The sequence below is a fragment of the Homo sapiens genome, chromosome 1 (assembly GCF_000001405.40).
Source record: "Homo sapiens chromosome 1, GRCh38.p14 Primary Assembly".
Lineage (NCBI taxonomy): Eukaryota > Metazoa > Chordata > Mammalia > Primates > Hominidae > Homo > Homo sapiens.
In genome coordinates, this window is record NC_000001.11 from 216,160,555 (window position 1) to 216,178,088 (window position 17,534).

The 17,534-nt window shown below is 35.5% G+C and overlaps 1 protein-coding gene across 2 annotated transcripts in view; it reads right to left on the reverse strand.

The window, feature by feature from the left end:
• USH2A (usherin) overlaps nt 1-17,534 on the reverse strand; it is an 800,558-nt gene that overhangs the window by 537,664 nt on the left and 245,360 nt on the right. The window contains exon 21 of one of the 2 annotated variants that reach the window (NM_206933.4): nt 14,698-14,928. In NM_206933.4, coding sequence (NP_996816.3) covers nt 14,698-14,928 — 231 coding nt within the window. Of the gene's footprint in view, nt 1-13,391; nt 14,929-17,534 lie in introns of those variants that run through there. The other variant, NM_007123.6, reaches the window with a different exon arrangement.

Below are 17,534 nucleotides of genomic sequence, written 5' to 3' on the forward strand. Positions count from 1 at the left end.
TGAGCCCAGGGGTTCAAGACCAGCCTGAGCAACACAGTAAGACCTCGTCTCTTAAAAAAAAAAATTATGCGATTTCTATAGCCCAGGATATTAACTATTTGGAAAATGTCCTATGTGTTCCTCAAAAATGCATATTATATAGTTGTTGGAAGTGATGTTCTACATATGACAACACTTATAAAATGTCACATGTTTTATATACAGATGTAATTGTTTATTCATTTTCAAATCTTTGATAGTTATACTAATATTTTGTGTACTTTTCCTGTCAAAATATTAGATGGGGATTTATATCTTCAACTATGAGGATATATTTATTCTCTGTTTATTTCTGTCAACTTCAGTTTTATATACATATCTGAAACTATAAGTAGCACCTAAATTTAGGATTATATGTCCCTCTATTGAATTGATCTTTTTGTCATTATGAAATGTCCTCCATTTTGTCTACTAACATTTATTGTCTTAAAATCTATCTATATATCAATACATCTTATCTCTTTCTTTGTTTTCGAATTTTGTCTTTATATTTAAAGTATGTTTATAAGAATAAACAACATATATTTTTATTTTTTAAATCAATCTGAGAACTTTTATGCTTATTTGGGTAGACTATTTAGATTTAATGCAACTACTGATATAGTTGAGTTTATGTTCACCACAGTGGTATTTGTCCTTTTATTCCCCACATTTGCTCTTTGTTTCTGGCTTCTTCTTGCCACCCTCAAACTCCTTTATCAGCTTAACCTGTGTTTATTTAACATTTAGTGTTTCCTTACATTAATTTTCTAAATCATTCTTTTGGTTGTTACCTTTGGCATCATAATCTGAATCCTTGATCTACTATGGCCTACTTCATATTATTAATTCTTCAACTTCCATAACTTTTTAGGAATTTTACCACAGTTTAGCTCCATATAGACCCCGTCATCATTTGTGACAAAATAATTGATGTCATACATTTTTTCTTACATGTTATCAACTTCAAAGTATGATTTTTATGCCTTTTATCATAAATATTACTTTTTATTTACACACCTAGTTACCATTTCTAGAGGTTTGCACTCTTTCCTGCAGCTCTGTGCTTCCTTTTGGGATCTTTTCCTATGTCCTAATACACTTTATGATTTTTATAATGCCAGTCTTTTGATGATAACTTTTTTCAACTCTTTTGTTAAGAAAAATATTTTATTTTATCATTTTTGATGGATATGTTTCCTGGGTACAGAAATCTTGACTGGTAGTTTTCTTTTGTTGTTATTATTGTTAAAAAAATAATTTTAGCATTTAAAAAGTATCATTCCATTATATTCTGGCATTCATTTATTGTTGTTGTTGAAAACTCAGACATCATTCTTATTTTTGCTCCACTGAAGGTAATAAGTCTCCCCACCCTCCCCAGGTGCTTTTGAAGGTTTTTCTTTGTCTTTTATTTTAAGCAATTTGACTGTAATATACCTGGATATGGCTTTCCTTATATTTGCCCTCCTTATGGTTTGCTAAACTTTGTTAAACTATGTGTGAACTTATTTTTCATATTTGATAATATTTGGCTATTCTACAATATTACTATTGTCTCATTCTTTCACTCTTTCCTTCTGGGTCCTCAAATACCTCATTGTTCTTTTTTTCATGTTTTCATTTCCTTCTCGATATGCTTCAGTTTGGACAATTACAATTGACCGTTGAGTTCTCTAATCTTGCCTTCTGCAATGTTTCATTGGCAAAACTTATCAATATTCTCTTCATTTCAGGTATTTTACTTTACATACCATTTTTTCCTATTAATTACTGTACAGATTTCAATTTTGCATTGAAATATTTTTTATCTTATCATCCTTTCTGTCCACCTTGTCCTTTATTTTCTCTTAACATTAACTGAAGTTATTTTGAAGTCTTTGTCTGCCTCTATCGACTATTAACATTTCATTATTGGTCACTTCATGGATGACGCATAGTAAAACCTCTGGATTATTTTACCTTTTACTAATGAATACAAAATTCTGTTTTGACGGGAAGTAAAATTACCAGATTACCTCGACCTTACTCAGCCTTGGCTTTAGGCTTCACTAGGGTGAATCTGTTTCAATTATCTCAATGTTCCTAAAGAATAGCCCTTATTCCTAAAGCATGGGAATTTACTCATAAAGGACGGACTTTTGGAGAGTCGAGTGAAAGCTCAGAGTATTCACCAAGGTTTCTCTACTGTGGTTAAGTCCAAACTCCATGTGTGCATCCTTAGCTCTATGTTGCCTGTGAAATCTCTACTTAGCTCCAACTACCAAGCAGATCTTCTCTACTATGTTTCTCATAGGATTATTCTAAATGTTGGCCAAGCACCCAAAAAAGAATTGTTACACAGAATTTTTGAATTATTTTTCAGCATCAATCTTCTCTCTGGGAACCTACCCTCCAAATCTACTTTTGTAGCCCTGAATTCCAGTTTTTATTCCTTTACCAGATATACTAATGTCTCTGCTTGAGCTCAATAATTCCAGGTGTGTGCAACTCAGTTCATTTGCTTTTCTTCACTTAAGCATAATAGCTCTGCACTGTTGCTATATATTGGCTACAAATAGGTGTTTCATATATATTTTGTTCCCAACTTACATTGTTGCATACGATATTAAGAACAAGGCTATTTACTTTATCAGGGATGGAATTGGTATTTTATCTACTGAGTTGCTAACTTCAGCTGTTACTCCGCTCTAAAATTCCTATTCTAATATATTCCCATTTGCTACTTAAATTCTGAACATTTTCATTGATTTTATTGATAATATTAATTATAGTTATTTTAAAGTCTGTGTCTGGATATATGCATATATATCTACATGTATATGTGTGTATATGCCTATGTGTGTATGCAAATACATATTTCCATATATCTGAATTACTTGAGGATATGTTTCTATTTTTTATTTTATTTATCTTATCTTTTGGTTATTTGGCCCTATTTTCTGGTATGCCTGTTAATATTTGATTGAATGCCCGACATTGTATAGGAAAAAATTGCACACTCTGGGACTCTGGTTGATGTGATCTTTCAGCAAATATCTAAATATTTTTGGTAAAAAAATAACTTTTATCTCAGTATAATTAGTAGTTAAGAATAATTGAGGCTTTATCTGAGGAAGAAGAGCCTATTAATGATTTGCTCTTCTAGGATTTCAATTGAAAACCTGGCATGTATACCAGGACCCCACCTAGACTCTAATTTTTTGCCTGTCTTTTTTTTTTCCCTAAGACTATGCAATAGAGGAATTAACAAACAAAACAGAAGGAAAAACAAAGATAATTTAAAAGGCTCACCTACATGGTTTTTCTTATATCTAGGATCTTGATCCCACAAGTCCTAGAAGCCTTTGTTACTCACTTATGTCTTTAACCATATTTTTGAGAAATTTTTTCCAGCTTCTATTTCTTTTCTCAGCAGGAGGATTTTTTGATATGCTTCATAGCTGGAGACAGAAGTCACTTGTAATTACTTAATTACATGTTTGATGCATGATTTCACTGCAAGACTTTAAGCTCCCTAAGGTTAGGAATCATTCTTGTGTTGCTCAGTATCCTTTTTACGACAGCAATCATAACATCAGCTAGTGGAGTGAAATAAGGAAAAACTGCATACGAACCGAATGAGTGATTGAACTCTTCCATTTAAAGGTGGATGTAGAAAGCAATATCAAAGCTTGAAACACAGTTTAGGGAAAATAGAAGGAGAAACCTAGTGAGAAATATTTAGTTTCTTCTTATTTTTTAAAAGGAAAAAATGGCACCAATATTATTTATTGGCACATAGGGTGAGGATTAAGGAAAGTTCTCTGACTTGAAAACTATTGATAATCTAGAAGAAAGTATTTACAATAAAGAAGTGGAAGAAAAGAATCCAAATGACAGTAGATTGAGGAGTAATTGATCCATGAGAAAATGACACATAGAGAGTCTTAGTTTTCGAGAAGACTGATTATGAAGACAGGGGGAATAATAGAGTTAGGTTTATAAGTACACATAACATTTAAAGTTGGCTGTTTAAATAGATGTGGAGAAATGAGATGCAGAACATGTATGCTTCTAGTGGAAGAAGAAAGGTAACAATGACAACAAAAAACAGGTCAGAGGTTCACAGAATGAGTAAAATAAAGTGAATGATCAGAGTACCGTGTAGTAGAGAGAGGTCATAAAGAAGTATCAACAAGATTTATGTGACTTAGGGACATAAAATATATGTATGCAATGGAAAGGCACATAATTGAAGTCCAGAATTACAGAATGCTGGTCACAAATGCATACACAATACTAAGACACTGTGTACTAATCCTTTACAGTGATTGCATTGAAACCTTACAATAAGCCATTTAACAGATGAAGAAACTGAGTTTCACACTGGGGGAATGACTTGTGCAAAGTCGCACACCAGCATGTTGGGGAGCCAGATTTGAAACCTGGGGAGTCTGACTCCAGAACCTGCACCATTTACTACAGCCATTGCCACTTTCTGAACTAGACTGCCAACATCAATACCTCCATTGTCCTTGAAATAGAATTCAATCAGCATGATGCTGTTAATCCATCCATAGCATTGATCACTGTTGTTTTTAAAGCACTTTCAAGATTAAAAGTGCTTTTTATTGTACTGTATATGTTTATTATGACTGTCATCTTAAACCTATTGCAATAAGCCCTAATGATATGTATAGGTAAAAGTGTCAAAATATTCATTAACCTCAAAATTTAATAAGCCTAAGGAGATCATGTATCTAAGAGATGTGCAACCACCTAGTTTTCAGCAACACAATGTGATAGCTATGGTGGGGCAGAAAACAATTTCTGATATAACACTCTAGCTATAACAACTGGTGTACAAGTAACTTTGCCAGCAACTGAGGACCATTAACAAGAAATTTCTTTTTGTCTCTGGTACTATACAGTTTAAAATGTATTTTCTTACACATCTAAGGCCAATAGAGACTAAACAAATTGAGTTATCACTCTAAACCATCAATACTTTCAAAAACGTGGATTTAAAAATGTGAACTATATTCAAAAGCATAATGAATTTTGCCATTAAATAATTCTTACAGCTAAGTGATCCATCTTTTGGATTTCCCTCTTTTCTATCACTCATTTAGTTAATAAATATTTATTGAGTATCTGGTAAATGTCTTATGCCGTGCAAGACACAAATGTGTTAAGCATGAAAAAGATAGTCATAATTTCAGTCTACATGAAACATAGATAAGCAAACAACCAGTTTTTTTTTTTTTTCAACAGGTGTTTTTGGGAACAGGCAGTATTTGGTTATATGAATACGTTCTTTAGTGTTGATTTCTGAGATTTTGGTACACACATCACCTGAACAGTGTACACTGTACCCAATGTGTAGTTTTTTTTATCCCTCACCCCATCCCACACTTTCCCCTGAGTCCCCAAAGTCCATTGTATCATCGTTATGCCTTTGCGTCCTCATAGCTTAGCTCCCTGAACAACCTGTCTTAATAGAATGCGGTAAGAGCTAAAATAGAGTAATTGTTGGTTTCTATAGTAGTACATAAGAGAGGTCCTCAACCCAGATTTGGCATGGGAGGAGGCTGGGGTTGCTGGAAGTTTATTTAGGGGAACAGCTAAGCTAACCCTTTCATGATGAGTAGCAATTAGCCAGGTGAAAGGAAAGCGAAGTACTTGCAAATAGATGAGGGCATACCCGGCAAAGGTATCAATATGTTCAAAGAGATGGGCATCTGAGAGAGTGTGCTATATTCAAGCACTGGGACTAAAAAATGGTCTAGAGCTAGAGAGTATACCAGTCCTTGGTGGGAGAGATGAGGAGGTATATAGGTAGAAAGCAGGTAAGCAGAAAAGGGTTTGTGAAGGGCATCTCTCGCTGGGAAACCATTAAAAGGTTTTACACAAGAGAATGCCAATAAAAATAATTCGTTTGAAGAACAGCCTGGAGAAGATTGAAACTGTTGGCAGAGAAGCCCACAACATAGGTCTGGACTAGGCAGTAGCGTAGGACCAGCAGGTAGTTCCAAGAGATGTATCCGAGGAAGAACGGCCAGAGGAGGAATCATTAATAGAATGGGAGGAAATGAGTGAATAGTTCAAGTGCCAATTCAAGGAGAGTTCCAAGGTTTCCGCCTAAGGCAATAGTGATATTCACTGTAGATGGTACACACGGAAGGAGGAACAGGTTTCAGGAGAGGAAAAAAATGAAGGGAAGAAGCTGAGAAAAATGCATCTACATTGATTTTTAATTTTCTGCTGGAGGGAGGATCAGTCAATCATTCCCACACATTTCCCTTAAGTCCTTATTCTTCCTTTATGATATTCCCCAAGGATGCCCCTTTTTTGTGAAAATGATATGGCCACCATTGCCAGAGATGACTTTAGATGGCTTGAGGGTTTCTTCCTCTCTCCTTCTGTCTCATGCCTTTATTTTGAAGTTGCACTAAAGTCAAAGAATTTCCAAATGGAAACTGCTCATCAGTCAAGGAACTGAGCCTCCCTTTTCAAAGCTCCAAACAAACGGCCTATGGCTATGTTTGTGAGCCTCCTTATATATATATACCTTAAATATGGTTTTCATATTATTACTTAACATTTCCCCCACTTCAATGAAACTGTTAGTGTTACAGTTGGCAGTTAGACTATGGGCAGGGTCAGAGAAGCACCGCCCCCCACAACGCCCCACCAGAAATGTCAGGCAACCGTCAGGTGATAATTGTTACACTATCTCTCTAAAATAATAAGAATCAGTCACAGCCAGTGCCAGGGAAAGGCAGTCTCCCTATAGATAGAAACACCTGAGACGGGTGATCAGCAGCTTCCCAATGAGATCTCAGGAGATGGGTGAGTGGGCTCAAGCATGCGCACTAAGAGGCAAAATGTTGGCGCTTAACCGGTATATGACCTTCTGGGAACACTTAACTGGCAAGGAAACATGCCTTAAGTGAGCATGCCTATAACTTCAGTAAACACACTGGACATTCAACTTCTCCCAATTGCTGGCAGACTACTGTACACGTGGACAGCCCACCCCAAGGGAAGAATCAGGGGAGAAGGGACGCAAGACCTCGGAAGCATGCCATTATATAAAACCCCAAGTAAAGGTCAAATCATCTCTCAAGTCACCCACTTGGCCCTCTTCCAAGTATACTTTATTTCCTTTCATTCCTGCTCTAAAATTTTTAAATAAATTTTCACTCTTGCTCTAAAATTTGTCTTGGTCTCTTAATATGCCTTATGTCCCCTCAATCAAATTCTTTCTTCTGAGAATGCAAAAATTGAGGTGGCTACAGATCTATATGAATTTGCCGCCAGTAACATTAGTGCATAATCTTCTAAAACATTTCTTTAGAGCACTGGAACCAAGTTTTGAAAGAGATGGCATTTTGACAATGATGTTCCCAGATTCCTCTCTATCTGAATAGAAAGGAACTTAATCTATACACTTCAAGAGTGCTGTAACTGGTATAAAATAACTATAACTATACATTTTTAAATGTTTTAACTAATTTTTTTCAAGAAAACATACACAAAATAATTCATCTTACTAAATCAAAAATCAATCATCTTCAAAGGTGCTAGTTTCACTACCATTGCTGACCAATTATGATTCTTTTTCTGCTCAAAGTTCCTTTTCCAACCCATTTAAGCTGAATGAAGGGGAAATTAAAATTAATGTGTTATATTGATACAAAATATCATTAAGCAACAGCATTTTTTTTAAGCAATGAAGTCTTTGAAAAGATTCCAAAATGCCAACATACTGGCAGAAAAGACACTGGACAATTTGAGCAGGTATATTTGAGACTATATAGAAATGAAAATGACTTTGCAAAAATTATAACTAAGAAAATTATGACAGTGAAAGAGACCTGGCCTAAATAACTCTATCTTACTTATAAACTCTAATATGTCCTTGTTCACTGCTGGGCAAAGGTTGACCTAACCTTGGGAAAAAATTTAGTTTACAATTTAGTTTTGAAACAAAGATGGTAACAGCCTTTTCCCTAAATAGACCCCCTTCTTGCCTGGGGACCTGTCTGCCTTTGTATGACTAACAAATTTGCTACAAGATAAGGAATGATGGTTTAGAAGCCGTGCAGCCTCCAGCTGCAAGATTCCGAACCTCCCCAAATTGCTCCTGGGGATAACATCACTGTTGGAAAATTTAAGATCAGTGTTTGAGATATTTTGCAGTCCCTTAACTCATGAAATAGCTATCACCACCCAGATTGATAAACTGGCTCATCTGATCTTGTGGTCCTCACCCAGGAACTGACTCACCACAAGAGGACAGCTTTGACTCCCTAGGATTTCATGTCCGACCCAACCAATCAGCACTCCCACTTCCCAACCCCTTACCAGCCAAATTACTCTTAAAAACTCTGATCCCCAAACTCTCCAAGAGACTGATTTCAGTAATAATAAAACTCAAGTTTCCCATACAGCAGGCTCTATGTGAATTAAACTCTTTCTCTATTGCAATTCCCCTGTCTTGATAAACTGGCTCTGTCTAGGCAGTGGGCAAGGAGAACCCATTGAGTGGTTGCGGAAAACCCAGAGACCTTCTGGAAAACATATGTTTATGCATGTGGGATGAGTATATAGGAACACACGTGTGGTTTATATATCAGGTGACAATGCATTTTGAAAAATTTTAACAGTGATGGACAAAAACAGATGCTTTAAGTTAACTAAAATACTGCTAACAGCTAACAAAAACAGTTTGTTTTCAGTGTTGGCTCAGCTTACCAGTTACCTAACATTAATATTTCAAAAAAAAGGGAGACTTACAGGAATGTACTTCAAAATAAGTCACTTTTAAAAGGCAAGGGTTAAAACACATGCATTCTTAAATTGGTCTTATGATGTAGTTGATGAATGGGGAAATAATGGTCCTCTCCCATCTCGCAGTGCCATCAATGCCACCTGAAGGCATTTCCTGAGAACTTACTTATACCTCTCTACTAAATATAATAAAAAATAAACAGTCTTGACATTTACATCTCCATATCTCTAGTTATCATGAGTCAGTGTGACTTCTGTTATTCTAAGAAGATATGCATTTTGATCCTTGTCCTCAGTCCAAACTGATTAACTCAACCATTCTCATCTCTTCTGATTGTTTCATAATCAGAAAACACAGCAGAGTTTTGTCACTGCCTGAGAATTATTTCTCCTTTACTTTGCTGCCACATACCATGTTCTTACTCTTTCCTTTACTTTTTTAGTATAATTACTGCCTGTTCATTAAACTTCTAGGACACATAGTAGATTATTATATTTGTTTTTCAATAACTAGGGCTGAAATCTAACATCAAAGGTTAGGTAAAATTTGTGATTTAAATCTGTCTTGAAAAGAACTGGGGTTTTGTTTAGTTGTTTTGTTTTTTATTTTTTTCAAGCGCTTTCTGTCAAAATACTTGCTCCCACTCCAAGGAAAACAAATAGTGGGACACCAAGGGTGTTGAAGGTCAGAATTAATATGCTTTTACTAATTAGTCTATCTGAAGAAGTTTGCCCTACTTGCACCTTCACTATAAATGCTTATAATCAGCTTTCTTTTAATGAAGTGCTTAAATGTCCCAATTCACTAAAAATAAGAAGACTAATAACAATAAGGCATAAATATTATGGAGTAAAAGAAATAAAGAATATGCTCTTAAACATATTGATTTTTGGTGGTTGCATTTCTTTTTTCATCCCTTGGTAATTAATTGCATTTCGTATTCTAAAGCATTTTAGTTCAACCATTTTTGGGAAGGTGAATACTATGATACAAAAATGTATGACAATCATTTAGTGTCCTTGAACATCATTATTATGAAGAAACTGTATAGAGTTCTCATCTGCAAGATATTCAACATCAGTAATCACATTTCTCGTGAAGACAAATAAAAGGGAATTATATCCAGGTGCATGTGTGTGCTCATCTCCCCAGTGGTTTGCTACAAAGATCTCCCCAAAGGCAGTTCCTGATTTCTGGGCAGGGTCACCAGTAAAGGCAGTTTAAAAGGCTGGTGTGATTGGCATCTGGATACTACAATAGTCAAACCTTCCCCCAAATGATCATGGACCTGTTTTCGCTAATAGGAAAAAATAAGTGACAAGGAGAAAGAGGGTCACCTTTGGAATGCCAATCTGAGCAGTATTTTACTTGCTGTTTTTACCAGGTTCCACTTGGATTACTAGCATTACAAGGAAAGAACTAAATTCTTTGTATAAATCAAGTAGATTTACTCTGCATTCCTGAAAAAAACGAGCATGATTTTTTTTTCTCTCCAAAGGCACAATGATATCCCCTTCTAGTTGCATATGGGAGGGGAGGCTCTATTTGCTATTTCTGTGTTGGAAGAAGAAAGTATTTTTAACCCCATGTAACTGGGGCACTGTTTCACCATGATTGTTTATATCATTGCCCAATTACAAGATCACGAAACTATTTTAATTTTCTGCTTTTTTTATAACATCTGATATGACCCAATAATTGAATATCTATTTTATGTTGAACTCTGCCCATATCACTAAATTTCTTAAATTATTAGAGAAAAGCAGTAAATTTGTATCAATCTTAAATTGTATTAATAAACAAAATATTATAGAAAACAATTTATTTTAAACTCTAGGTGTTTTTTTAACTCACAGATGCCATGATTACAGCCTGTATTTTGGATTGTGGGGCCTCCTAAACATTCTATGTTCACAGAATTGGAATTTTAGAGGTTAGAACATTGATCATGCAACAAAATCCTCAATTTAATAGATGAGCAAGATTAGACACTCAGAAAAGTAGTTTGCCCAAGTCCTCACCACTAAGTCAATTAATTTTACTATTTTCAATAGCAAAATTAAGTATCACATTTTAATATGGAATATTGCATATTACTCATGCCCTAGATATAACATTTGAGCAAACATATTTTGCATGTGTAACAGCAAATAAATTAATAGAATGCTGATTTTATAACTGCAGAATACTCTCACTTAGGAAAGCTCCTGTCTCATAGTAGGCACTTAATAAATATTTATTAAATGAATAATAACTAATAGCTAATGTTTAATGAGTACTAAATAATCTGTGTGGTAGGCACTGTGCAAAGTTCATTAGGTGGGCTATCTACTTTAAATCCTCACCTACCTGCTAGATACCAATACTGTCAGTGGAATTATGTTAATTTTAAAGAAAAGGAAACAGAAGCACAAAAAATGATTAAATGAGTTGTCTAATTACATTTAGCTAATAAATAATGGGGCCTGGATTTGAAAGTAATTTATCAGTTAATCTTCTTCGAAGTCCTCATAATAATATACAGAGAGTTAATTATTTTAAATTTAAACTATGATGTAAATGACTGATAATACATTCTTCCTGAAGATTAGATTTTTTAAAAGAACACTTGTATCAGAAAAGAAAAGGAAGCAAAAATAGGTCCCAAAATAGCTTTATCTGGTTCTTTATTCTGCCCAAAGGTAGATATTGACAGGGTTTATTTACAGTATTAAGCTTGGTAATTTACAATATTAAACAACATTTTAGGACATATATTCATATGCTTGAATTATTCTCTTTCTATTGTGTAAGATAAAAATATTTAAAGCAAATATGAAAGAGGCATAAGTTGTGTAAGAGATCCCTTTCTTGTACTACAATAATGAGATATTTCTTACTGAGACTTGCAACATAATGTTCATGGCCATGAAATGTGTTATGAATGCGTTTATAATTCCTGTCATTGATGGGTACAATCTAACTTATCTTTTCATATATAAAATATGTATAATTATGTACATCAACCTTATATTTGTATTTGAGTACTAATTGATATTTCTATTCAGAAGTCATTTTAGTTGAAGTTTGAGATTTTGAATTGAATAATTCAAAACAAAGGACATCTTAGTTTATCTTAAAGTTATTAACTTTTAAAATGTAATTCATCATATTAGAGGTTTCAAGGATTTGCTCATTAAATTTGCCTCAGAATATAAAAACTGAATGAAATATAAAGGAATGTGAGTTGAAAGCACTGTTTTAACGCATAACACTTCAGCCCATTTCACATAATGTTATTTATATTTTAAACATCTAGCTTCTAGTAACACTCTGGGTTTAATTGCTATTAAAAAAAAACCTGATGCCTACATGTCTTTGGGGATACAAATAAATGAATAAATAATGCCAACACTACTTGCTGTTTGTGAGCTGAAACTAACTGAAAGACAAATCCAAAAAGTTTAGCAGTGTCAGATAAGGAATATTTGGGTGATAATTATTTCACCTCCTATCCCTCTTTCTTACTTTTGTATACTTCCTATTCTATCACTTCCAAAGAACAGTCTACAAAAGTTCCTTTCCACCCTGTAGCAGAGACCTTGCCTTTAAATTTGGAAGGCTCCAATTCACGTTTCCACCCTGAAATTCAATAGCTGTGGCACAATGGGCAAGTCACTCACTGGAGCCTCTTTTCCTCCTGTACTACGAGGGTAAAAAGAGCTACTTTATAGGGTTGCAGAGGGATTAAATAGGATAATATATCAGTAAGAATAATGTAAGATGCTAATTATATGCTTACCTCTCTATTTAGGAAAGATGCAAGTTTACAGAAAGTTATTGAGTTGGTTTTGAAAACCTGTCCTAGCTCATTAATTGGGTACATTTAGTTAGGCTTCGGTACAACTCAATAAAATCATTCAGCCAAACCTGGCAAGTCAGCCAAAGGATCAAACCAATAACTTAGTATATACATGGTTATATTAAAAGTTAAAGGGGTCTTAAAAGTAAAGCCAAGCTACCACTAAAAAGGGCATCAGCAATGTCCCAGAACATGCCTGAACACAGAAGAACTTCTCATTCTCCAGGAATCACCAAAGCTCCAGGGAGTAGTTCAAGCCAAAATTGTGATCTCCCTGCCTTGTCCTTCAAATGGTGTGTACTCCAAGCATATTTTCTGTGCAGCTGGAGGCTTTGTTATAGACAGAAGGATCCTGCTTAGTGAGGCCAGTGTTTACAGCCTAACTTTTTTAAAGAGGAATTTGGAAAACTTCCCAGACACTGCATCTGCCCCTAGCCCTTGCACCTCAGAGTATAAGGCCAGCAAGGGAGATAGCGAGGATGACCAAATTTATTAACGGTGGACGGGCCATTCTATCTTTCACTGCAACAACAGTAGGTGATCCCATCAAAAATCTGTCTGCTGGCTAGCCTGCAAATCCAAGCTGACATCCTTGCAGCAGCTATGCCCAGCTGAATGGAAACGGATGCTATTTCTTGGAAGAAACACATCTCAAGCCAAATATTGGATCAGGGAGGTAGTTTCCATTTTCATTTGAGAAAAGAGTTTTACTATTATTCATGTATTCCTTTTCCTTACCTTTTTTTTCTTTTCTTTTTTGCCATTTTAAGAATATAAAGCAGAAGTTGAGCATTTTTAGCTCAATGGTTCAATTTCTAATACTCTGCAATGATTTTGATGTACTGAGAGAGTAGTTAATCATGCATTAATCTCAATATATCTCAGTTAGAATATAATCATGATTCATTACCAAGGTGCATCAGCAGCCAGTCTCAATGAAAAGCAAACTATTTACTATTTTAAGTAAAAATAAAACAATACAAATTTTTATAGCTCGAATTCCATTTCATTGTCTTCACATATGCAATATTTTAAAGACTAGCTATTTGCTCCAAAATGACTTTCTCATGGATGATTAAATGAACATCTTTATGAGTTTACATAATAATATATATCTTATACTTTGTAAATTTTTTTAAAAATTGGAAAAATGGTGTACCATAAGTAGAGTTTTTTTACAGCTATATTGAAATCATGCTATTAGAAGCTGTAAGTCACAGAGGTCATGGGACTTCCAAAATATTGCGGTACTAGTAAGGCCAGGAGGAGGGTAAGGCCAGTGAGGCAGGATTGTGCTGGTACAGAGTTCAATCTGTCTTTATTTAAGCTTTTGATAATATTTTTATAGTGCTTTCACATTGATTTTCATTTTTAAAAATATTGCATTAAAATTTACATTAACACTGAGTTTTTTAGTGCCTTTAAATTTTGTGACCGAAACAAGAGCCTCACTTGCTTTACCATAGTCCTGGCTTAGAGAAGTTATCTTTTCCCTGGGATTAGTTTTCCCCACAATGTTCTTCATAGAACATGAGATATTAAGTTGTCACAGTGAAAAAAAGAAGAAGGAAACAGCAAGAGAAAGAAAAAGAAAACATTACATCAAATATCTGTTAGGCATGATTAGCTAAGCAAAGTTGAATAGCTTTCTTACAATGCTTTTTGGAGTTTCAGTAACGGGGTGCATACTGAGAATCTCCAATAGCATGAGGGCATTTTGCAAACTCATTTGCTCAGAGAACACAGTGAATAATATTTCAAGAAACATGTCCTGGCACATACTTCACAAAAAGACAAATACAAAGCACATACTTTGATCCAATAAGGCTGCTTCTTCATCTTCATCTTTTATTTTTCCTTTCCTTCACTTACCTGACTTTTTTCCCCAGAATTCTAAAAAGATGGACATGCTGAAACAATCAGGCAAAAGCTATCAAAGGGCTGAATTAGTATTTCTCTAAGTAGGTATAATAAAAATTCATTGTAAAGGGATATGAAAATATAGAAAACATTTTGGAGCTTCGTGTCTCCTAAATAAAGCAATGTCAAACACACTTACCAGTGAAGTCTGTATTGACTGGGTGAGTGGAGCTGGGAAATTTACAATACCCATTTCCTATGAAACGGATTCCTTTCATCATCGTGGTCATCAGAGCTGGTAGAGATGACTCTCTCCTTTCCAGCTGATATATAGGAGAGGGTCCATTCAGTTCTTCAGGTGGAAACCACCTAAGATGGATTGTTGTGCTGTTGATTCCTTTAACCAGAGGTGGCCTCAGTTGTGCTGGTGCTAAATATTAGAAAACACCTGTTATATTCAAGAATTTGGTTTCTGTCTCTAGACACACATATTCACATATACGTATATATGTATTTGTATATATCACACTTCAAATCAAATCAGTTGTGGTTTCAAGTATCTGTATGGCTCTAGGAACTGAAAACACAATATAGAGTTTATCTTAAATGCAGTGAAACAAAATTTAAATGGCCAATATACTACACACAAAACTTTCAAATTAAATTTTTTCTTGAAAATAACTTCTCTATTCTTTTTAGCTAAATAATAGATCTTATATATTATAGTAGCTGCTGTACTCTGGGTGGTGCCCCAACCACAGTCCCTCTACCAAGCAGGTACCCCAATGGCCCAGTTTCTGTGCCCGTTGGTTTCTGATGGCTCATGGCTGCCCCCTTCTGCGTAGAACTTCCCTTGGCTGAGTAAGAGCTGCCTCACCCAGGAGCCACAGGATCCCGCAGTGAAACCTACAGCCAATGACTAGCACTAAACCCATAGGGCAGAGCCCCTTGCCTTAAAGAGGCATCAACTCCGTGCTGTAATTTACACAGGCAAAGCATAATCCGTGCCAACCAATGGGTAATGAAGGAATATTAACACGAGTTTGCCAAAACTTTGTGCTTGTGTAAAAATACATCAGAAAGTCATTTTTAAAAAGACTTTCATTATTTTTGTTTTTGATTGCTCCTGTGGAGCACGGCTACACCATAGGCAATGTGCCAGGGGTAACCTTTATTTATTTTTTTTTTTAGAGATGGAGTCTCACATTGTTGCCCAGGCTGGAGTGCAGTGGCTATGCACAGGCATAATGATAGCTCACTACAGCCTGGAACTCCTGGGCTCAAGCAATCTTCCTGTCTCAGCCTCCCAAGTAGCTGGGACTACAGACAGGTGCCACTACGCCCAGTAGACTTAATTTTTAAGAGAAGTTTTATGTTCATAGAAAAATTGAGAAGAAGGTACAGAGTTCTACCATATCTCCCCACCCATGCACAGTCTCTTCCAATATCAACATCCGGCACCCAAATGGTTCATTTGCTACAGTAGATAAATCTGCATTGACACATCATTTTCATTCAAAGTACATAGTTTCCATTGGGGCTCACACGTGGTGTTTACCTTCTCTGGGTTTGGACAAATGTATGATGGCATGCATCCATCATTATGCTATTACACAGAAAATTTTCCCTACCCAAAACATCCTCTGTGCCCTGCCTATTCATCTCTCCTTCCCCCCAACCCCAGGTAACTACTCATCTCCGTAGTTTTGCCTTTTCCAGAAAGTCATATAGTTGGAATCATAAAGCATGTAGCCTTTGTAGACTGACCTTTCACTGAGTAATATGCATTTAAGTTTCCTTCATGTCTTTTCATCATTTGCTAGCTCATTTAATGCTAAATAATATTCCCTTGTCTGGATGTAGCATAGTTTATCACAGTTTATTTATTCATTCATCTACTGATGAAATATCCTGGTTGTTTCCAAGTTTTGGCAATTGTGAATAAAGCTGCTATGATGTGCATATATATGTGTACATCTAATTATATATCAGGGTTTTGTGTTTTTAACTCCGTTGAGTAAATACCAAGAAGTGCAATTGCTGTATCATATGGTAAGAGCATGTTTGGTTTTCAAGACACTGCCAAACTGTCTTCCAAAGTGGCTGTACCATTTTGCATTCCCACTGGCAATGAATGAGCATTCCTTCTACTGTACAGCCTCATCAGCATTTGGTGTTGTCAGTGTTCCAGATTTTGGCCATTCTAATGGGTGTGTAGTGGTATCTTATTTTAATTTGCATTTCCCTTTATGACATATGATATAGAACATTTTTCATATGTGTATTTGCCATCTGTATATCTTCTTTGGTCAAAAAAGCTCCTTTTATACGCTATTTTCTATTTTTAAAGCTTAAAAACTGATCTAAATGAAAGCAAACAAGCAATAGCACTCTGAATGTTAAACAGAGCATCAGCACAAAATAACAAGCCTGTGAGTTCAGCAGTTTACACACAACGGTCCAGGCAACTAACTTTGGTCAGCCTCTTGGTCCTAGAGAGCACCCTGGCCCTGAAGTGACCCCACCACCAGCAGTGGGCTTAGCCTTGGAGCAGTAGTGACCTCATGCCCTTGCATACACTGGGACCTTGCCATCCTTTCAGGTGGTGGGACACTGGCAATTCTTTGAAGGTTCCTGGGAAACCCTAGGAGTCACGGAGATTAAGGTTTTCCCTACAACTTGCTCATTCAGATTAACAGCTGATTTATTGAAAATGAAGGTTTGTTTTGGTTTGATTTTTTTTTCCCTTAAACAGTTGAGTTTGTGAGCTGAGATTTATTCCCCCTTTAAGTATGTCTGCTGGATTTGAGAGGTGAATGTGGAGAAAGGAACAAATGTCATAATCACCGAGCCTATTTATTAAGGGCCCAAACTACATCTGTGGACTTTCAATTTACACCTGTGTTAACACAGCCATACACAGACGCAAAGTCATTGCCTGTTTCAATAAATATAAATCAAAATGATGTGGATATAAGAATTGAAGCCCTTAAACCATGAAAGGAAATTCACCGTAAAGCAGCTTAGAACAATTAG